Source organism: Homo sapiens, chromosome 12 (assembly GCF_000001405.40).
Source record: "Homo sapiens chromosome 12, GRCh38.p14 Primary Assembly".
NCBI lineage: Eukaryota > Metazoa > Chordata > Mammalia > Primates > Hominidae > Homo > Homo sapiens.
In genome coordinates this window covers 53631972-53655507 of record NC_000012.12, presented here as the reverse complement: position 1 = coordinate 53655507, position 23536 = coordinate 53631972, and the positions used below count along the sequence as shown (strand labels likewise).

At 42.6% G+C, this 23536-nt stretch overlaps 1 long non-coding RNA gene and 1 pseudogene across 1 annotated transcript, besides 2 other annotated features; both read left to right on the top strand.

The window, feature by feature from the left end:
• Positions 6169-6463: a silencer, noted in NCBI's record as "tiled region #2395; K562 Repressive non-DNase unmatched - State 23:Low". NCBI's record gives its function as "represses a minimal TATA promoter and a strong SV40 promoter by Sharpr-MPRA in K562 cells {active_cell/tissue: K562}" and the evidence as "EXISTENCE:reporter gene assay evidence [ECO:0000049][PMID:27701403]".
• Positions 11049-11343: an enhancer, noted in NCBI's record as "tiled region #12722; K562 Activating DNase matched - State 7:EnhWF". NCBI's record gives its function as "activates a minimal TATA promoter and a strong SV40 promoter by Sharpr-MPRA in K562 cells {active_cell/tissue: K562}" and the evidence as "EXISTENCE:reporter gene assay evidence [ECO:0000049][PMID:27701403]".
• Positions 12570-13953, top strand: LOC124902938 (uncharacterized). Its single transcript, XR_007063318.1, has 2 exons — positions 12570-12755; positions 13804-13953. It is a non-coding gene; the product is annotated as an uncharacterized LOC124902938 (long non-coding RNA).
• On the top strand, positions 22330-22695 carry RPL31P51 (ribosomal protein L31 pseudogene 51; annotated as a pseudogene).

Sequence of the window (23536 nt, the reverse complement as noted above, 5' to 3'; positions counted from 1 at the left end):
CCCTGTAACATTAGGTTAGAATTGGAAATAACCAAAGTGAAATATATATGAATTATATATTATATACATTTATATATGAATTATATATTATTTACATTTATATATGAATTATATATTATATATATTTATATATGAATTATATATTATATATATTTATATATGAATTATATATTATATATATTTATATATGAATTATATATTTATATATGAATTATATATATATTTATATATGAATTATATATATATTTATATGTGAATTATATATTATATATATTTATATATAAATTATATATTACCCCCAGTTCTGTTCACTGAGAATCGTGACACCACAATAACATTGATTATATATATATATATATACACACATATACATTTCCACAAATTCTGTTCACTGAAGGAATCACAGTACACCAGTAGCATTGATCACACCTGGTATTGGTTTCCAAATACCATTCTCCTTTTAAAAGAACCATTGCTCCTTGGAGAAAGGACTGATTCTAGGGCTGGGGAGGGAAAGTACAAGATGAACCTGAAATATCTGGTTGTGCCAGAAGGTATGGAAGTGCTCAGAGAATGATGGAGACATATCAAAGGCTTTAGGAGCCAGCTTGAAGGGGCTCCCATTGGCCAAATCTGGAACAATTTGAACATCAAACTAAATCATGACAGTAAAATATTAAAATCCATTGAATAAAATAGTAATCCATGAGTCACTCCAAAAGAAATAAACAATAAATGAGAAGAAAAAACTTTTCTGTCTAAAATGACAGTAAATATAGAAGGAATGATGGAATTAGAATACCTGCATATTATTTAGTAACCATCATAGTAATAACTAACCCAGCTGGGCGTGGTGGCTCAGGCCTGTAATCCCAGCACTTTGGGAAGCCAAATCGGGCAGATCACCTGAGGTCGGGAGTTGGAGATCAGCCTGACCAACATGGGGAAACTCTGTCTCTACTAAAAATACAAAAAATTAGCTGGGCGGGGTGGCACATGCCTGTAATCCCAGCTACTTGGGAGGCTGAGGCAGGAGAATCGCTTGAACCTGGGAGGTGGAGGTTGCGGTGAGCCGAGATCGCGCCACTGCACTCCAGCCCGGGCAACAAGAGTGAAACTCTGTCTCAAAAATAAATAAATAAATTAGTAAATAAGCCACAAAACATCAACAAATCCTAAACCTAGTGGGTGATTTGATGAGGAATATGATATTTCCATAGCCTGAAGTACTTTCTCATAAAATACTCATTAATTACAAAGGGAAAAAGAATAATTTTATAGTGGAGGCATGGCAAGCATTGCCATAATCCAGAAATCAACGTCAACATTACCGGAAATGAGACAAATCAAAGTTATATGTAGCCTTAGAGTATGCAACTAGAACACCATTTTTGTTGTAATTCTTGATAAAAATGCATAACCTGAAACTAAACATGAAGAAATACTGGACACACCCAATTGTGGAACATTCTACAAACGAACTGGCCTGTAATCTTTAAAAGTGTCAAGGTCATAAAAGTCAAGGAAAGATCAAGGATCTTTCAATTCAACATGTGATTCTGGGCTGGGTCTTTTTGCTCTGAAGGATATTTTGGAGACAACTGGAAAAACTTAAATGAGGTCCAAGGATTATATGGTAGTAATGTATCAAATATTAATTTTCTGATTCTGGTGGCTGTATTGCGGCTTTCTAAGAGGATGACCTACTTGGTAAGAATCATGCATAAAAATAGAGATGACAAGGCATCATGTCATCACCTTACCAGCAAATGGTTCAGGGGAAAAGAGTTACTTGGTACTATCCTTGCATCTTTTCTTTAAGTTTGACATGAATTAAAAATAAAACAAAATATGAATGATTTGAAACACTTAAAAAGCACTGAAACTAACGTAATAGATACCTAGGCATCTGCCCCAAGATTAAAAGATATTAACGTTTTGGCCATATTTGCCTCAGATCAACTGCCTGTGCACATTTGCCCTCTCTTTCTGTTTGCTTCAAGAAATAAAATGCGGACCAGGCTCAGTGGCTCATGCCTGTAATCCCAGCAGTTTGGGAAGCCAAGGCGGGTGGATCATTTGAGCCCAAGAGTTCAAGACCAGCCTGGGCAACTTGGTGAAATGCCGTCTCTGCAAAAAACACAAAAATTAGCTGGGTGTGGTGGCATGAGCCTGTAGTCTCATCTACTCAGGAGGCTGAGGTGGAAGGATGGCTTGAGCCTCGGAGGCAGAGGTTGCAGTGAGTCAAGATAATGCCACTGTACTCTAGCCTGGACAATAGAGCAAGACTCTGTCTCAAATAAACAAATAAATAAAATGCTACAGAAATGTCTGCTCTTATCACTTATATTCAGCATTATACTTGAGATCAGTTGGTGCAATAAGGAAAGAAAATGAAATTAAAAGTACAAGGCCAGGCATGGTAGCTCATGCCTATAATCCCAACATTTTGGGAGGTTGAGGTGGGAGGATCACTTGAGCACAGGAGTTTGAGACCAGCCTACACACCACAGCAAGACCCAATCTCTACCAAAAAAAAAAAATTGTTTTAATTAGTCAGGTATGGTGGTGTGTGCCTGTAGTCCCAGCTACTTGGCAGCTGAGGTAGGAGGATTGCTTGAACCCAGGAGGTCAAGGCTGCACTAAGCTGTGATTATGCCACTGCACCCTAGCCTGGGTGACAGAATGAGACCCTGTCTCAAAAACAAACAAACGAAAAAACCCAGAAAAAGTATACATTTTAGGAAGAAATTAAAGTGTTTTTTCACAGATAACATGATCATTTATGTAGAAAATCCTATGGAGTCCACAAAAAAAAACCCACTAGAATTAATAAGTGAGTTTAGCAAGGTTGCAAGATACAAGATCAACATATAAAAATCAGTTATAAGCTAGGCATGGTGGTGCATACCTGTGGTCTCAGCTACCCAAGAGGCTGAGGCAGGAAGAGCCCAGGAGGTCCAGGCTATGATTGCACCACTGCACTCCAGCCTGCGTGGCAAAATGAGATCCTGTCTCCAAACACAACAACAAAATCAATTATATTTTTATATACTAGCAAAAACAATCAGAAATTGAAGTTTTATAAAACTATTTACAATAGCATGAAAAGTATGAAGTACATAGGGGTGAATTTGACAAGAGATATGCAAAACCTGTACACAGAAAACTAAAGAGAGAAATTAAAGGCCTTAAATACATGGAGAGACATACCACGTTAATGGTTCAGAAGACTCAATAATGTTAACAGTCGTGTCTCCCCAAATTGTTTTTGTTTTTTGTTTTGTTTTTCTTTTGAGACTCTGTTGCCCAGGCTGGAGCGCTGTGGCACAAACATGGCTTACTGCAGCCTTGACCTCCTAGGATCAAGCAATCCTCCCATCTCAATCCCCCCAAGTAGCTGGACCTACAGGCATGTGTCACCATGCCTGGCAATTTTTTCTATTTTTTTCTAGAGATGGGGTCTCACTACGTTGCCTAGAATGGATTTCTCCCCAAATTGGTGTGTAGATTTAACACAATCCCAGTCAATGAGTCAAAATCCAGACAGGCTATTTTCTTTTTTTAGAATATGACAAGGCTGAAAAAAAAAAGAAAAAGAATATGACAAGGCTGGGCACAGTGGCTCACACCTGTTATTCCAGCACTTTGGGAGGCTGAGGCTGAGGCAGGAGGATAGCTTAAGCCCTGGGGTTCAAGTCCAGCCTGGGCAACATAGCAAGACCTTATCTCTAAGAAAAAAAGAAAAGAAAAGTAAATGACAAGCTGATTATAAAATGTACATGGAAATGCAAAGAACCCAGGATAACCAGAACTTCAGCTTTGAAAAAGAACAAAATAGGCCGGGGGCAGTGGCTTATGCCTGTAATCCCAGCACTTTGGGAGGCCAAAGCGAGTGGATCACCTGAGGTCAGGAGTTCGAGACCAGCCTGGCCAATAGGGTGAAACCCCATCTCTACTAAAAATACAAAAATTAGCCAGGCATGGTGACAGGTGCCTGTAATCCCAGCTACTCAGGAGGCTGAGGCAGGAGAATCGCTTGAACCTGGGAGGCAATGGTTGCAGTGACCTGAGATTGTGCCACTGCACTCTAGCTTGGGCAACAAGAGTGAAACTCCATCTTGAAAAAAAGAAAAAAGAAAAAGAACAAAGTTGGAGGACTGACTACTCGATTTGAAGACATATAAAGTTACGTAAGTCGAGGCAGTGTGGTGTTGAAGTAAACATAGGTAAATAGACCAATGGAAAAAAGCGGAGCCAAAAAGAGATTTACATAAGGTATGGTGGCTCATGCTGATAATCCCAGCACTTTGGGAGGCTGAGACAGGAGGATTGCTTGAGGCCAGGAGTTTGAGACCAGCCTGGGCAACATAGTGAGAGCCCATTACTACAAAAATAATTTTTATTTTATTTATTTATTTATTTATTTTGAGACAGAGTTTTCACTCTGTCACTCAGGCTGGAGTGCAGTGGAGCCATCTCAGCTCACTGCAACCTCCGCCTCCCAGGTTCAAGTGATTCTCCTGCCTCAGCCTCCTGAGTATCTGGGATTACAGGGGCCTGCCACCACGCCCAGGTAATTGTTTTTATTTTTAGTACAGACAGGGTTTCTCCATGTTGGCCAGGCTGGTTTCAAACTCCTGATCTCAGGTGATCCACCTGCCTCAGCCTCTAAAAGTGCTGGATTTACAGGCATGAGCCACTGCACCCGGCCAGGAAAAATTTCTTTTTAAATAAGCTGGGTGTGGTGGTATGTACCTGTAGTCCCAGCTGTTCTGGAGGCTGAGGCAGGAGGATCATCTACTGGGGATGCTGAGGCAGGAGGATCATTAAGCCCAGAGTGCAAAGCTGCAATGAGCTATGGTGGTGCCACTACACTCCATCCTGGGTGACAGAATAAGTCTCTGCCTCAAAAAAAAAAAAACCTTACATATGTATGATCAATTGAATTTCAGCAAAGGTGCCACGGTAATTCAAATAGGGGAAAAGATAAACTTCAACAAATGGTTCTGGAGCAATATGCAAAATAAAGCCACCTTGCTGTTCATCTCTCAATATGTACAAAAATTGTCTCAAAACGTCAACATGAATTATACACATAAATGTAAGAGCTGTAAAACTGCTAGAAGAAACTATAGAAAATTTTAGTAACTTGGGTTTGGCAAAGATTTCTTAAATATTACCGAAAAAGCACAAATGCAATTTCTCTGTCTCTCTCTCTCTCTGTCTCTCTCTCTCTCTATATATATATATATTATATATTATATTATATATATTATATTATATATATAATATATATATTATAATTATATATTATATATTATATAATATATATTATAATTATATAATTATTATATATATTATATAATATATAATATATATAATTATATATTATATAATATATTATAAATATAATATATTATATATTATATAATATATTATAAATATAATATATTATATATATTATATAATATATTATATATAATATAATATATTATATAATATATATATTATATATATATATACTTCTTACCTCAAGCAATCCTCCCACCTTGGCCTCCAGAGTGCTGGGATTACAGGTGTGAGCCACCGTGTCTTATGTTACATAAGGGAATAAGAGGAAGACAAAGATATTTGCCTGATACATGTAATGGTTAATATTAGGTGTCAACTTGACTGGATTGAGGGATGTCTAGATGCCTGGTAAAGTATTGTTCCTGGATGTGTATGTGTTGGTGTTGTCAAAGGAGACTGACATTTGAGTCAGTGGACTGGGAGAGAAAGACCCACCCTCAGTATGGGTGGACACCATCCAACCAGCTGCCAGTGCAGCTAGAACAAAGCAGGCAGAAGAAGGGGGAATAAGGTTGCTTGCTGAGTCTTTTTTTTTTTTTTTTTTTTGAGAAAGAGTCTTGCCCTACTGCCCAGGCTGGAGTGCAGTGGTGCAGTCTCTGCTCACTGCAACCTCCGCCTCCTGGGTTCAACCGATTCTCCTGCCTCAGTCTCCGCAGTAGCTGAGACTACAGGTGCATGCCACCACACCCGGCTAATTTTTGTATGTTTTTAGTAGAGACAGGGTTTCACCATCTTGGCTAGGCTGGTCTCAGCCTCCTGACCTCAAATGATCCACCCACCTCAGCCTCCCAAAGTGCTGGGATTATAGGCATGAACCACCATGCCCAGCCTCTTGCTGAGTCTTCTGGCTGTCTCTCTCTTCCTATGTTGGACACTTGCTTCCTCTCCTCCTGCCCTTGGATGTCAGACTGCAGGTTATTTGGCCTTTGGACTCTGGGACTTGCACCAGCGGCCTCCCGGGGGCTCTCGGGCCTTTGGCCTCAGACTGAGGGCTGCACTGTTGGCTTCCCTAGTTTTGAGGCTTTCAGACTTGGACTGAGCCACACTACCGGCTTCTCTTTCCCCAGCTGGCAGATGGCCCATTGTGGGACTTTGCCTTGTGATCATGTGAGCCAATTCTCCCTAATAAACTTTTTTTTTGTTTTTTTTGTTTTTTTTTTGAGGCAGAGTCTAGCTCTGTTGCCCAGGCTGGAGTGCAGAGGCACGATCTCGGCTCACTGCAACCTCCACCTCCCAGATCTCAGCTCACTGCAACCTCCACCTCGCAGGTTCAAGCAACTCTCCTGCCTCAGCCTCCCAAGTAGCTGGGATTACAGGCGCCCGCCACCACGCCTGTCTACTTTTTTGTATTTTTAGTAGACACGGGGTTTCACCATGTTGTCCAGGCTGGTTTCAAACTCCTGATCTCAAGTGATCTGCCCGCTTTGGCCTCCCAAAGTGCTAGGATTACAGTTGTGAGCCACCGTGCCCAGCCAATAAACTTCTTTTATATATACATATGGCTTATTGGTTCTATCCCTCTGGAGAACCCTGACTAATATAATACATATACATATATAAAGAGAGAGAGGTGTGTGTGTGTGTGTGAGTGTGTGTATACATACACAAGCATATTTATAACAAAATAAAGAGGAATACACATAACATTATTACAGTCCTCATTTCTGTAACTGGTTACGTGGTTGTAGCTGTTATTGATAACTACCTTCTTCAAGTACCCATTCCTTTTGACTTCAGAAAGCACTTCAGCTGGTCATGTTTCTTTACCTGGTAGAGTGACCCAAACCTTCATACCTGAATGGTCTGAACCATTAGTAATCCTTCCTGGATTGGGTTGTTGTAGTTTGCCATTGACCTTAATTACAAGGCATGGTAATACTAAGAGACACTTTAAGAGATCTCCTGTATTCTAGATATACTATTCCTTAACTTCAATGTTCAGTAACAGTCCAATTTCGCCTTGGTAGTTGGGATCAATCACCCCAACCAGCACAGTGATTCCCTTCTTTGGCTGTTGATTCAGAGGCATGAGGAGTCCATGTGGCAGGTGTCCTGTGAACAGCTAGCAGTCTTAACTTCTATTTCAGTAGAATCATTGTTGTGTCTCCTAGCAAAAGCATTCTTTCCTTTGGAAGTAAGACCTCTAGGCCAGCAAACCATAAGGTTGCAGGAATTGGAAGCAAAATTTTCTAGGGTGGCCGGGTTTGGTGGCTTACGCCTATAATCCCAGCACTTTGAGAGGCTGAGATGGGTAGATCACCTGAGGTCAGGAGTTCAAGATTAGCCTGGCCAACATGGTGAAACCCCGTCTCTACTGAAAATACAAAAATTAGTCGGACATGGTGTTGTCCACCTGTAATCCCAGCTCCTCAGGAGACTGAGACGGGAGAATTACTTGAACCCAGGAGGCAGAGGTTTCAGTGAGCCGAGATCATGCCACTGCACTCCAGCCTGGGCGACAGAGCAAGACTCTGTCAAAAAAAAAAAAAATTTTTTTTTTTTGCCAGGGGGATACTAGGGGGTTACTAGGGGTAACAGTGAGTGGTGTCACTCCCATTTCTACCCCTTGACTCCTGGACCTGTGAATCTTGTCTATGGAGAAAATAACATCATATATTGGACACTGATTCAACTCATATCTCCTTCTGGAGAAACTTGCCCCAGCTCTTACTTATATATTACCACCTAGCTGGAGCTGTAACTGAGTTTCCAAAAGGTCATTCCACCATTCTATCAAACCAGCTATTGCAGGATGGTGGGGAATATGTTAAAACTAGTGAATTCCATGAGCACAGATTCATTGGTGTGCTTATTTTGCTGTGAGGTGAGTTCCTTGATCAAAAGCAATGCTGTGTGAAATACCAGGATGGTGGATAAGCCATTCTATAAGTCTACTGATGGTAGTTTTGGCAGAAGCATTGCATTCAGGGAAGGCAAATCTGTATCTATAGTGTCTGTTCCAGTAAAAACAAAAGCTACTCCTTCCATGATAGAAGCTGTCCAATGTAATCAATCTGCCTCCAGGGAGCTGGCTTATCACCCTAGGAAATTGGCCATAGTGGGGACTTAGTGTTGGTCTCTGCTGCTGGCAGATTGGGCACTCAGCAGCAGTGGTAGCCTGGTTGTCCCTGGTGAGTGGAAGTCTATGTTAAAGAGCCCATGCATAAGTTCCATTCCTGCCACCATGGCCATTTTGTTTATTAGCCCATTGGACAATGACAGGGGTGGCTGGGAAAGAGGGCTGACTGGCATCCATAAAATGGGTCACCATATCCACTTAATTTGTTTTTCTTTTTTTTTTATTATACTTTAAGTTCTAGGGTACATGTGCACAATGTGCATGTTTGATACATAGGTATACATGTGCCATGTTGGTTTGCTGCACCGATCAACTCGTCATTTACATTAGGTATTTCTCCTAATGCTATCCCTCCCCCAGCCCCCCACCCCCTGACAGGCCCCGGTGTGTGATGTTCCCCGCCCTGTGTCCAAGTGTTCTCATTGTTCAATTCCTACCTATGAGTGAGAGCATGCAGTGTTTGGTCCTCTGCCTTTGTGATAGCTTGCTGAGAATGATGGTTTCCAGCTTCATCCACGTCCCTGCAAAGGACATGAACTCATCCTTTTATATGGCTGCATAGTATTCCATGGTGTATATGTGTCACATTTCTTAATCCAGTCTATCATTGCCGGACATTTGGTTCCAAGTCCTTGCTACTGTGAATAGTGCTGCAACAAACATACATGTGCATGTGTCTTTATAGTAGCATGATTTATAATCCTCTGGGTATATACCCAGGAATGGGACTGCTGGGTCAAATGGTATTTCTAGTTCTAGATCCTTGAGGAATTGCCACGCTGTCTTCCACAATGGTTGAACTAGTTTACATTCCCACCAACAGTGTAAAAGCATTCCTGTTTCTCCACATCCTCTCCAGCATCTGTTGTTTCCTGACTTTTTAATGATCTCCATTCTAACTGGCGTGAGATGGTATCTCATTGTGGTTTCAATTTGCATTTCTCTGATGGCCAGTGATGATGAGCATTTTTTCATGTGTCTGTTGGCTGCATAAATGTCTTCTTTTGAGAAGTGTCTGTTCATATCCTTTGCCCACTTTTTGATGGGGTTGTTTGTTTTTTTCTTGTAAATTTGCTTGAGTTCTTTGTAGATTCTGGATATTAGCCCTTTGTCAGATAGGTAGATTGCAAAAATTTTCTCCCATTCTGTAGGTTGCCTGTACACTGTGATGGTAGTTTCCTTCGCCGTGCAGAAGCTCCTTAGTTTAATTAGATCCCATTTGTCTATTTTGGCTTTTGTTGCCATTGCTTTTGGTGTTTCAGTCATGAAGTCCTTGCCCATGTCTATGTACTGAATGGTATTGCCTAGGTTTTCTTCTAGGGTTTTTATGGTCTCAGGTCCAACATTCAAGTCTTCAATCCATCTTGAATCAATCCTTGTATAAGGTGTAAGGAAGCGATCCAGTTTCAGCTTTCTACATATGGCTAGCCAATCTTCCCAGCACCATTCATTAAATAGGGAATCCTTTCCCCATTTCTTGTTTTTGTCAGGTTTGTCAAAGATCAGATGATTGTAGATGTGTGGTGTTCTGAGGCCTCTGTTCTGCTCCACTGGTAGTTCTATTTTTAGTTCTTTGAGTAATCTCCATACTGTTTTCCATAAAGGTTGTACTGAAATTCCCACCAATAGTATGTAAGCATTCCCTTTTCCGCTGCATCTTTGCCAACATCTGTTGTTTTTAGACTTTTTTTTTTTTTTTTTTTTTTTTTTTTTTTAATGAGACAAGGTCTCTCTCAGGCTGGAGCGCAGTGGAGTGATCTCAGCTCCCTGCAACCTCCACCTCCCGGGTTCAAGCAATTCTTGTGCCTCAGCCACCTAATAGCTGAGATTACAGTGTTTTTAGACTTTGTAATAGCCATTCTGACTGGTGTGAGATGGTATCTCATTGTGGGTTTGATTTGCATTTCTCTGATGATTAGTGATGTTGAGCATTTTTTGTGTTTGTTGGCTGCTTGTATGACTTTTGGAAAATGTTTATTCCTTTGGTCACTTTTTAATGGGGTTTTTTTTTTCTTGTAGAGTTGTTTGAGTTCCTTGTAGATTCTGGATATTAGCCCTTTGTCAAATGCATAGTTTGCAAATATTTTTCCCATTCTATAGACTCTGTTTACTCTGTTGATTGTTCCACTTAACTCTTAAAATCCTCCTCTTCTGAGGTCATGCTTTGGTGACCATTCATATGGGACACAAATATCTTTTCATTTTTTTGCCCAAAGAAGTCTATGCATATACCTCTTTTTCGATTTCTTTGTCACCAATTTTCTAATAGTGTTCATTCCAAGTCCATGACTATCCAGCCAAACTATTGGCTACAGCCCATGAATCAATATATAATTGCATGTTTGACCATTTCTCCTTCCAAGCAAAGTGAACGACCTGGTGTAATGCTTGAAGTTCTGCCCCACTGGGAGGATTTCCCTTCACCACTGTCCTTTGGGGTGTCCCAGAAAGGGACTTTTGTGTGCAGCTGTCCACTTTTGGGTCGTGCCTGTGTAATGTACACAACCATCTGTAAATCTGGCCTGGGTCTTCTTTTCCTCTGTCAACTGATCATAGGCAACATTCCATGAGGCCATAGGTGCAGGCTGGGAGAGTGAAGGCAGAGTAACAGGAATGGGGGCTACAGGTATTTGGATCACTTCTTCATGTAACTTACCTGTGCCTTCAGGGACTATTCAAGCCCAATCATGTACACACCACTTCCATTTAATGATGCAATGCTGCTTTGCATGCCCAATGTTGTGACTTGGTGGGGCAGATAACACCGAGTTCATGATGAGCAGCTCAGGTTCCATGGTAACTAGGTGACCCAAGGTTAAGTACTGAGTCTCTATTAAGGCCCAGTAGCAGGCCAAGAGCTACTTCTCAAAAGGAGAGTACTTCTGGCTAGGTGCCAGGGCTCATGCCTATAATCCCAGCACTTTGGGAGGCCGAGGCGGGCAGGTCACCTGAGGTCAGGAGTTCAAGACCACCCTGGCCAACATGGCAAAACCATGTCTCTACTAAAAATACAAAAATTAGCCGGGTATGGTGGCAGGCGCCTGTAATCCCAGTTACTTGGGAGGCTGAGGCAGGGAGAATCGCTTGAACCCAGGAGGCGGAGGTTGCAGTGGGCCAAGATTGTGCCATTGCACTCCAACCTGGGCGATAAGAGCAAGGCTCTGTCTCAAAAAAAAAAAAAAAAAAAGTACTTCTTTGCAGAGGATTGAAGACCTTTGAGAGTGTCCATATCTGCCCCTGACACTTCAAGCACCGCTGGATCTGCTGGATCACATGGCTCAAGCAGCACAGCTGCTTGCACAGCACCCTGGACCTGTTACAGAGACTTCTGTTCTGGGCCCCACTCAAAACTGGAAACTTTTCAGGTCATTTGGTAAATGGGCTGGAGTAACATACCCAAATGGGGAATATATTGATCCTAGGAGTTCGAGTTTACAGTGAGCTATGATCACACCCCTGCACTCCAGCCTGGATAACAGAGTGAGATCCTGTCTCTAAAATAAGAAAATAATATCAATGTAATGGACCAGCATAATATCTCGTGGAAGAAAAAAGCAATCAAGATCCTTGTGAACTCTCCAGTGGACTGGAAAGTTGACATAGCTCTGAGATAGGACAGTCAAAGTGTATTGCTGGCCTTGCCAGCTAAAAGCAAACTGCTTCTGGTGGTCTTTATTAGATACCCCTGTGATTTCATCTCCAGCCAATCAATTGTTTCAGTTCCCCAGGCCTCTGACTGTCAAAGTACCCTTAAAAACCCTAGCCTCTGAATTCTTGGAGAGGTGAATTTGAGAAATTTCTTCCATCCATCCTCTTGGCTGGACCTGCAATAATTAAACTCTTTATTTGCTGCAGTTCTCAGTGCATTGGTATTTTTTGCTTGTTTTTGTTTTTGTTTTCTTTTTTTAGACAGGGTCTCACTCTGTTGCCCAGGCTGGTGTACAGTGGTGCGATCATGGCAAACTGCAGCCTAGACCTCCTGGGCTCAGGTGATCCTCCCACCTCGGCCTCCTGGGTAACTGGGACTACAGGTGAGTGCCACCATACCCAGCCAATTTTTTCTATTTTTTGTAGACATGAGGTTTTGCGATGTCGCCCAGGCTGGTCTCGAACTCCTGGGCTCAAGCGATCTACACACCTTGGCCTCTCAACTGCTAGGATTACAGGTGTCAGCCACCACACCCAGCCTAGTGCATTGGTTTTTTTCAGGGCAGTGGGCAAAACGAACCAGTCGGGCTATAACTTGACCTACAGAGGAGAGGGATCACAGAGCTCTTTGAGGATGCTGGGGCCCTCTCACAAATTTATTTCTCATAGAACGGTAAGTCGTCTGGACCCTCCCTGTGTAGGTAAGTAAGTCTTAAATGACAAATGCACTCTAACATTCCAATTCCCTAAGGCTTTGAATCCCTTCCTCTGCGTTAAACCAAGACAGGTCCAGCAATTTCAATTCATGCTAGTATGGGACATCTTTGGAATATGTTTTAGCCAACCACTCAAACTGTTAGAGCACTTTCTAACTCCTCAAGCTGCAACATTCAACGCAGTGAGCCCATATCAATAAACTGGGCCAGATCCAATTTTGTGTTGCTTACACTATTATCCCAACCCTTAGTATCTATTCCCATACATGTTCCCCAAATTTCAATTTGTATAAATTAGAAAACTCAAGTAGTCTTTTGGAGTGTAGCCCACCTCCTCCTGGGTCACACTTTATACCTCACCTTTAGACACCTGCTAGGATGCTTTTATTTATTTATTTTGAGGCAGAGTCTTACTCTGTTTCCCAGGCTGTAGTGCAGTGGCACCATCTCAGCTCACTGCAACCTCCACCTCCCAGGTTCAAGCAATTTTACTGCCTCAGCCTCCCAAGTAGCTGGGATTACAGGTGTGCACCCCCATGCCCAGCTAATTTTGGTATTTTTAGTAGAGATGGGGTTTCGCCATGTTGGCCAGGATGGTCTCCAACTCCTGGCCTCAAATAATCTACCCTCCTCGACCTCCTTAAGTGCTGGGATTACAGGTGTGAGCAATGACGCCCGGCCAATATATGATTTTAATTGTCCAGTTTTCAACAGAAAATTATGACACATGCAGAGAAAATCTGACACAGAAAAAAAGCAGTCAATAGCAATTGTCCCTGAGAAAACCCAGATGTTGCACATACTAGAGAAAGACTTTATTTTTATTTATTTATTTTTGAAACAGGGTCGTGCTCTGTTGCTCAGGCTGAAGTGTGGTGGCACAATCATAGCTCCCGGCAGCCTCAGCCTCCGGGGCCCCTGCAATCCTCCTACCTCAGCCTCCCAAGTAGACAGGACCACAGGTGTGCACTACCATGCCTGATAATTTTTTAAATTTTTTTGTAGAGCCAGCATCTCCCTATGTTGCCCAGGCTGGACTCGAACCTCTGAGCTGAAGTGATCCTCCCCACTCGGTCTCCCAAAGTGCTGGGATTACAGGCATGAGCACTGTGCCTGTTCAAACAACTAAATAAACCATGTCTAAAGAATGAAAAAGAAGTGTCTTTGTTTTCTGTTTCTTATAACGGAATACCTGAAACTGGGTTATTTATTTATTTATTTATTTTGGAGATGGAGTCTCACTCTGTTGCCCAGGCTGGAGTGCAGTGGCGTGACCTTGGCTCACTGCAACCTCCGCCTCCCAGGTTCCAGGGATTCTCCTGCCTCAGCCTCCCCAGTAGCTGGGATTACAGGCGCATGCCAACACGCTCGGCTAATTTTTTGTATTTTAGTAGAGACAGGGTTTCACCGTGTTGCCCAGGCTGGTCTCAAACTGCTGAGCTCAGGCAATCCGCCCACCTCGGCCTCCCAAAGTGCTGGGATTACAGGCGTGAGCCACTACGCCCGGCTGGTGATTTATTTTTAAAAAGAAATGTATTTCTTTTTATTCCTTTTTATTTAATTCAAACAGTCATTGAAGGAATTTGTTTCTTACAGTTACGGAGGCTGAAAAGTCCAAGGTCAGGGAGCTGCTTCTGGTGAGAGCCTTCTTGTTGGCAGGGACTACAGAATCCCGAGGTGATACAGCGCATCACATGGTGAGGGGGCTGAGCATGTTAACTCAGGTCTGTCTTCCTCTTGTTACACCATTTCCACTTCCATGATAACCTATTAATCCTTTAACCCATTTATCCATGAATGGATTAATCCATCCATGAGGTCAGAACTCTCATGACCCACTCACCTCTTTAAGGCCCCACCTCTCAATACTGCCACATTAAGGGTTAAATTTCTACATGAGGCCGGGTGCAGTGGCTCACGCCTCTAATCCTAGCATTTTGGGAGGCTAAGGCAGGTGGATCACTTGAGATCAGGAGTTCCAGACCAGCCTGGCCAACATTGTGAAATCCCACCTCTACTAAAATACAAAAATTAGCCAGGTGGGGTAGTGAATGCCTGTAATCCCAGCTACTCAGGAGGCTGAGGCAGGAGAATCCCTTGAACCCGGGAGGCGGAGGTTGCAGTGAGCAGAGTTCACACCACTGCATTTCAGCCTGGGTGACAGAGCAAGACTCCGTTTCCAAAAAAAAAATTTCCACATGAATTCTGAAGGGGATAAATATTCAAACCATAGCAGAAAGTATGAGAAATGTGTCACCAAATAGAGAATATCAATAAAGAGACAGAAATTATGGCTGCCTGTAGTGGCTCACATCTATAATCCCAACACTTTAGGAGGCCAAAGGGGGAGGATTGCTTGAGGCCAGGAATTTGAGACCAGCCTGGTCAACATACTGAGACCCCATCTCAATTAAAAGAAACAAAAAGAAAAAAGAAGAAAAGAAATTAGTTTAAAAGAACCAGGCCGGACGCGGTGGCTCACGCCTGTAATCCCAGCACTTTGGGAGGCCGAGGTGGGCGGATCACCTGAGATTAGGAGTTCGAGACCAGCCTGACCAACATGGAGAAACCCTGTCTCTACTGAAAATACAAAATTAGCTCTGCATGGTGGTGTATGCCTGTAATCCCAGCTAGTCGAGAGGCTGAGGCAGGAGAATTGCTTGAACCTGGGAGGTGGAGGTGGAGGTGGAGGTGAGCTGAGATGGCGACATTGCACTCCAGCCTGGGCAACAAGTGTGAAACTCCGTCTCAAAAAAAAAAAAAAGAACCAAATAGGCCGGGTGTGGTGGCTTATGCCTGTAATCCCAGCACTTTAGGAGGCCAAGGCAGGCAGATGGTTTGAGTCCAGGAGTTCAAGACTAGCCTGGGCAACATGGCGAAACCCTGTCTCTACGAAAAATACAAAAAATTAGCTGGGCGTGGTGGTGTGTGCCTGTAGTCCCAGCTACTTGGAGGGCTGAGGCAGGAGGATTGCATGAGCCCAGGAGGTCAGGGCTGCAGTGAGGCAAGATTGTGCCACTACACTATAGTTTGGGTAATACAGTGAGACCCTGTCTCAAAGGAAGGAAGGAAGGAAGGAAGGAAGGAAGGAAGGAAGGAAGGAAGGAAGGAGGGAGGGAGGGAGGGAGGGAGGGAGGGAGGGAGGGAGGGAGGGAGGGAAAGAAGAGGAAGGAAGGAAGGAGAGAAAGAGAGAGAGAAAGAAATATTGGTGTGGAAGAGTACAATAACAGATGAAAAATCCACTACAAGGTCTCAACAACAGATTTGAGCAGACATAATGAGAAAGAGTGAACTGGAGGCAGGTCAACTGAGACTATCCAATCTGAGAAAAAACAATCAAAAGGAATGACAAAAAATGAACAGAGCCTCCGAGACTTGTCATATGTCATCAAATAAACCAAGGTGAGGAGAGAAGAGAAAGGGACAGAAAGAATATTTGAAGAAATGGCTGAAAACTTCCCAATTTGATGAAAAGCATTAATTTACAAATCCAAGAAGTCCAACCACCTCCAAGTAGGAAAAATTCAAACAGATCCACAACTACACACATCATAACCACACCATCAAAAGACAAAGATTAAGAAAGAATGTTGAAAGTAGCAAGAGAAAAGTTACTCATGTGTACAAGGGATCCTCAATATGATTTATCAACAGAAACCTTGGAAGCCAGAGGCAGTGGAATGACATCAAAGAGCTAAAAGAAAAAGACTGTCAGTCAGGTGCTGTGGCTCACGCCTGAAATCCCAACACTTTGGGAGGCCGAGACAGGCAGATCACTTGAGGTCAGGAGTTCGAGACCAGCCTGGCCAACATGATGAAACCCTGTCTCTATTAAAAATACAAAAATTAGCCTGGTGTGGTGGTGCATCCCTGTAATCCCGGCTACTCAGGTGGCTGAGGCAGGAGAATGGCTTGAACCATGGAGGCGGAGGTTACAGTGAGGCAAGATTGTGCCACTGCACTCCAGCCTCGGTGACAGAGCAAGATTCCTTCTCAAAAATAAATAAATAAGAAAAAGAAAAAAACTGTCGACCAAGACGCTACATCCAGCAAAGGTATCCCTCAAAAACTAAGAAGGTGCAGTGGATCATGCCTGCAATCCCAACTAGTCAGGAGGCTGAGGCAGGACGATCGCTTGAGACCAGGAGTTTTGAGACCAGCTAGAACAACATAGCAAGACCCCATCTCTAAAACAAAAACGAAGAAGAAATTAAGAAATTAAGACATTCTCAGATGAACAAAAACTGAAAGAATTTGTCACTAACAAACCTGTCCTCTAAGAAATACTAAAGGGAGTCCTTCAGGCTTAAATGAAAGCATACTAGATAGTAACTCTAATCCATACGAGGAAATAAAGAGCTTTAGTAAAGATAACTATATAAGGTAAATATAAAGACAATACTGTCTTTATATTTATAATTTTATTTATATTTAAATATAATTTTATTTGTATTTAAATATAATTTATATTTAAATACAATTTTTGCTTGTAAATTTCCTTTTCTCTTGTCATATTTAAAATACAATTATATTTAAAAATTATAAATGTATATGGATGGGGCTGGGCATGGTGGCTCACACCTGTAATATCAGCCCTTTGGGAGGCAGAGGCGGGTGGATCAATTGAGGTCAGGAGTTCAAGACCAACCTGGCCAACATAGCGAAACCCTGTCTCTGCTAAAAATACAAAAATTACCCGGGTGTAGTGGCTCACACCTGTAATCTCAGCTACGCAGGAGGCTGAGGCACAAGAATCGTTTGAACCCCAGAAACAGAGGTTGTAGTGAGCCAAGATTGCCCCACTGCACTCCAGCCTGGGTGTCAGAGTGAGACTCTGTCTCAAAAAAAAAAAAAAAAAAAAAACTATGTTGATGGGCATACAAGGTAGAAACATGTAATTTGTATGACAATAACTGCATAAAGGAGGAAGGTGAAAATAACAGCTATACAGAAGCAAAGCTTTTATTTATTTATTTATTTATTTTGAGACGGAGTCTCGCTCTGTCGCCCAGGCTGGAGTGCAGTGGCGCGATCTCGGCTCACTGCAAGCTCCACCTCCTGGGTTCATGCCATTCTCCTGCCTCAGCCTCCCTAGTAGCTGAGACTACAGGCGCCCGCCACCACGCCCGGCTAATTTTTTTTTTGTATTTTTAGTAGAGACGGGGTTTCACCGTGTTAGCCAGGATGGTCTCGATCTCCTGACCTCGTGATCCCCCCGCCTCGGCCTCCCAAAGTGCTGGGATTACAGGTATGAGCCACCGCGCCCGGCCTGCAAAGCTTTTATTTACTGTTAAAATTAAGTTGATATTAATTCAGATTAGATTATTATAAATAAAGGTATTAATTTTAATCCCCAGGGCAACCATTAAGAAAATAACTCAAGACCGGGTGCTGTGGCTCACGCCTGTAATCCCAGCACTTTGGGAGGCCAAGGCGGGCGGATCATGAGGTCAGGGGTTCGAGACCAGCCTGACCAACATGGAGAAACTCTGTCTCTACTAAAAATACAAAATTAGCCGGGCATAGTGGTGCATGCCTGTAATCCCAGCTACTCGGGAGGCTGAGGCAGGAGAATTGCTTGAACCCAGGAGGAGGAGGTTGCGGTGAGCAGAGGTCACGCCGTTGCACTCCCGCCTGGGCAACAAGAGCGAAACTCCATCTCAAAAAAAAAAAAAAAAGAAAAGAACTCAAAAGATTATTAAAGGAAATGACAAAGGAATTAAAATAGAACACTATTTAATACAAAAGATAGTAGTAATGCTGGAATGGGAGGGGAAATACAAGACATATAGAAACAAATAGCAAAATGGCAGACATAAGTTCTATCTTATAGGAATTACATTAAATGTAAAAGGCAGAAATTTGCATAGTGAGCAAAAAAATATGATTCAACTATAAGCTATCTGCGAAAGACACATTATAGATTCAAGGACACTTATAGGCTGATACCTGATGTGGTCACTCATGCCTGAAATCCCAGCACTTTGGGAGGCTGAGGTAGGAGGATTGCTTGAGGCCAGAACGTTGAGATCAGCCTAGACAACATAGTAAGACCCTGCCTTGCTAATTAAATAATAACCTCACTTTTTTTAACAGCAAAAAAAAAAAAAAAAAAAAGGAAAAAAAAGACATTTATAGGCTGAAAGTAAAAGGAAGAAAAAAGATACATGATGCAAACAATAACCAAGTAATCTCAATTGGCTTGTGCTAATACAAGACAAAAAAGCACTGAAAGTCAAAAATTGTTACTAGAAACAAAGAAGGACATTTAAAAATTATTAAATGGTCTCTTCTTTTGTCTTTTCTTCTTCTTCTTTTTTTTTATACGGAATCTTGCTCTGTCCCCAGGCTGAAGTGCAGTGGCACAATCTCAGCTCACGGCAACCTCCACCTCCCGGGTTCAAGCTATTCCCCTGCCTCAGCCTCCCAAGTAGCTGGGACTACAGGCACGTGCCACCACGCCCAGCTAATTTTTTTGTATTTTAGTAGAGACAGGGTTTCACCATGTTGGCCAGGATGGTCTCAATCTCCTGACCTCGTGATCCACCTGCCTCAGCCTCCCAAAGTGCTGGGATTACAGGCGTGAGCCACCATGCCGGCTCTTTTTCTCTTTTTTTGAGACAGGGTCTCACTCTGTCACCCAGGCTGGAATGTAGTGATGTGATCATGGATCACTATAGCCTCAAACTCCTGGGCTCAAGCAATCCTCCCACCTCAGCCCCCAAAGTAGCTGGGACTATGGGCACACACTATCATGTCCAGCTAATTTTTAATTTTTTTTTGTCAAGATAGGGTCTCACTATGTTGTCCAGGCTGGTCTCAAACTCCTGGGCTCAAGTGATCCTCCCACCTTGGCCTGCCAAAGTCCTAGGATAACAAGTGTGAGCCACTGCACCCAGGCAAAAGGTCCATTTTATCAATCAAGAAGATGGAAAATAAAAGAGAAAAGAAAAGAAAAAGATGTAGCAATTATAAACATAAATGCATCTAACAATGAAGCTTCCCAAAACATGAAGCAATAATTGACAGACTTGAAAGAAGAAATAGGCAATTCAGGCTGGGTATGGTGGCTCATGCCTGTAATCCCAGCACTTTTGGGAGGCCAAAGTGGGTGGATCACTTGAGGTCAGGAGTTCGAGACCAGCCTGGCCAACATGGTGAAACCCCATCTCTACTAAAAATATAAAAATTAGCCAGGCGTGGTGGCGTGTGCCTGTAATCCCAGCTACTTGGGAGGTTAAGGCAGGAGAATTGCTTGAACCTGAGAGTCCTTGCTACTCCAGCCACTGCACTCCAGCCTGGGCAACAGAGTGAGACTCCACCTCAAAAAAAAAAAAAAAAAAAGGAATAAGCAATTCAATGATAATCACTGAGGACTTCAATACCTCCACTTTCAATAATGGATAGAACATCTAGACAAAAGATCAACAAGGAAAGGGAGGATTTGAACAATACTATTAACCAACTAGACTTAACAGATATCTATAAAACACTCCACCTAACAATAGCAGAATATATATCCTTCTAAAGTTCACATGAGGGCCAGGGGCAGTGGCTCACGCCTATAATCCCAGCACTTTGGGAAGCTGAGGTTGCTGGATCTTTTGAGGCCAGGAGTTCGAGACCAGCCTAGCCAACATGGCTAAGCCCCTTCTCTACTAAAACTATAAGAATTAGCCAGGTGTGGTGGCGCATGCCTGTAATCCCAGCTACTTGGGAGGTTAAGGCAAGAGAATTGCTTGAACCTGAGAGGCAGAGGTTGCAGTGAGCTGAGATTGTGCCACTGCACTCCAGCCTGGGCAACAGAGTGAGACTCCACCTCAGCGCCTGTAATCCCAGCTACTGGGGTGGCTGAGGCACGAGAATCACTTGAACCTGAGAGGCAGATGTTGCAGTGAGCTGAGATTGCACCACTGTACTCCAGCCTGAGCAACAGAGTGAGACTCCGTCTAAAAAAATAAATAAAAATAAAGTGTACATGAAAAAATTTTTCAGTATAAAATATATTTTAGGCCAAAAAATAACTCATAAATTTTAAAGTATTGTAATAATGCAAAGTATGTTTTGTAATCATAATGGAATAAAATTAGAAATTAATCACAGAAGAAAATGAGAAATTCACAAATATGTGGAAAATAAAAAACATATTCCTAAATAAACAATGAATCAAAGAAGAAATTACAGGGATGTTAGACAACACTTTGAAATAAATAAAAATAAAAACAAAACCTATTAAAATTTTATGCAATGCAGCTAAACCAGTGCTTAGAGGGAATTTTATAGCTGTAAATGAATAAATTTTAAAAAGAAAAAAGACCTCAAATCAATAGCCTAAACCAAAGAAAAAAAGCATCTAGGAGCTGTGGCTTATGTCTATTATCACAACATTTTGGGAGGCTAAGGCGGGAAGATCACTCGAGGCCAGGAATTTGAAACCCACCTGGTCAACATAGTAAGACCCATCTCTACAAAAAAAAAAAAAAAAAAAAAAAAAAATAGCCAGGCATGGTGACACTTGCCTGTAGTCCTAGCTACTTGGAAGGCTGAGATGGGAAGATCACTTGAGGCCAGGAATTTGAGGCCAACCTGGTCAACATAAGACCCATCTCTACCCAAAAAACAAACCAAAAAAAAAAAAAAATTAGCCAGGCATGGTGACAATTTCCTGTAGTCCCAGTTACTTAGAAGGCTGAGATGGGAGGATCACTTGAGCCCAGGAGCTTGAGGCTGCAGTGAGCTATGATCGGGGTACTGCACTCCAGCATGGGACTAGACTGGAAATAAATGAAATAAGGAATGAAAAAATAATAGATAAAATCAATGAAACCAAAAGTTGATTCTTTGAAAAGATGAACAAAATTGACAAAATTTTAGCTAGATGGACCAAGATAAAAAGAGAGAAGACTCAGCTGGGCCTGCTGGCTCATGCCTGTAATCCCAACAGTTTGGGAGGCTGAGGCAGGAGGATCATTTGAAGCCAGGACTTTTTGGGGGGATTTTTTGGCTTTTCTTTGAGACAGTGTCTCACTCTGTTGCCCAGGCTGGAGTGCAGTGACATGCCATTCACTGCAACCTCGAACTGCTGGGCTTAAGCGATCCTCCCAACTCAGCCTCCCTAGTAGCTGGGACTATAGGTGTGAACCACCACACCTGGCTAATTTTTGTATTTTTTGTAGACAGGGATTTCGCCCTGTTGCTCAGGCTGGTCTTGGACTCCTGGACTCAAGCAATCCACCTGCCTCAGCCTTCCAAAGTGCTAGGATTACAGGTGTGAGCTACCATTCCTGGTCAAAGCCAGAAGTTTGAGACCAGGCTGGGCAACAAAAGTGAGATGTGTCTACACAAAACAAAATTCAAAAAATTAGCTGAGCTGGCATGGTGGCATGTACCTGTAGTCCTAGTTACTCAGTAGGCTGAGGCAGAAGGATCGCTTGAGCCCAGGAGCTCAAGGCTGCAGTGAGCTATGCACATACTTCACTTCAGCCTGGGCAATAGAGCAAGACCCTGTCTCAAATAAATAAATAAATAAAGCTTTCCAACTTGGGCCCAGCAGAATGGCCCGCAAAGAAGGGTGGCGAGAAGAAAAAGGGCTGTTCTGTCATCAACAAGGTGGTGACCGAGAATACACCGTCAACCTTCACAGGTGCATCCACGGAGTGGGCTTCAAGAAGCGTTCCCCTTGGGCATGCAAAGAGATCTGGAAATTTGCCATGAAGGAGATGGGAACTCCAGATGTGCGCATTGATACTAGACTCAACAAAGCTGTCTGGGCCAAAGGAATAAGGAATGTCCAAGACCTTATCCGTATGCGGTTGTCCAGAAAACATAATGAGGATGAAGATTCACCAAATAAGCTCTATACTTTGGTTACCAATGTACCCGTTACCGCTTTCAAAAATCTACAGGCAATGTGGATGAGAACTAACTGCTGATAGTCAGATACATCAAATAAAGTTATAAAATTGCTTTCAAAAATAAAAATAAAATGAGAGAGAGAGAGAAGACTTAAATTGCTAAAATCAGGAATAAAACAAAGAATGTTATCATCAGGCTCACAGAAATAAAAATGATTATAAGGGAATATTATGAAAATTGCATGCCAATAATTAGATAATCTAGATGAAATATAAGAATTCCTAGAACGACACAAGCTACTGAAACTGACTCAAGAGGAAATTTTAAAAAATTAAATAAACCCATAACAAGAAAAGAGACTGAATTACTCATTAAAAATAAAAAAGTTCCACAAAGAAAATCCCAGGACCATGTTGTTTCACTGGTGAATTCAGTCAAATGTTTAAAGAACACTTAACACCCTTCCTTCCTTCCTTCCTTTCTTCCTTTCCCTCCCTCCCCGCTTCCCTTCCTCCCTTCCTCCCTCCCTCCCTCTCTCTCTCTTCCTTCCTTCCTTCTTTCTTTCTTTAGACAGGGTCTTGCCCTTCCTTCCTTCCTTCCTTCCTTCCTTCCTTCCTTCCTTCCTTCCTTCCTTCCCTCCCTCCCTCCCTCCCTCCCTCTCTCCCTCCCTCCCTCCCTCCCTCTCTCCCTCTCTCCCTCCCTCTCTCCCTCTCTCTCTCTTTCTCTCTTTCTTTCTTTCTACACGGTCTTGCTCTGTTGCCCAGACTGGAGTGCAGTAGCAAGATCATAGCTCACTGCAACTTCCAACTCTTGGGCTCAAGCAATCCTCCTGCCTCAGCCTTCTGAGGTAGCTAAGACTACAGGCATGTGCCACCATGATTCC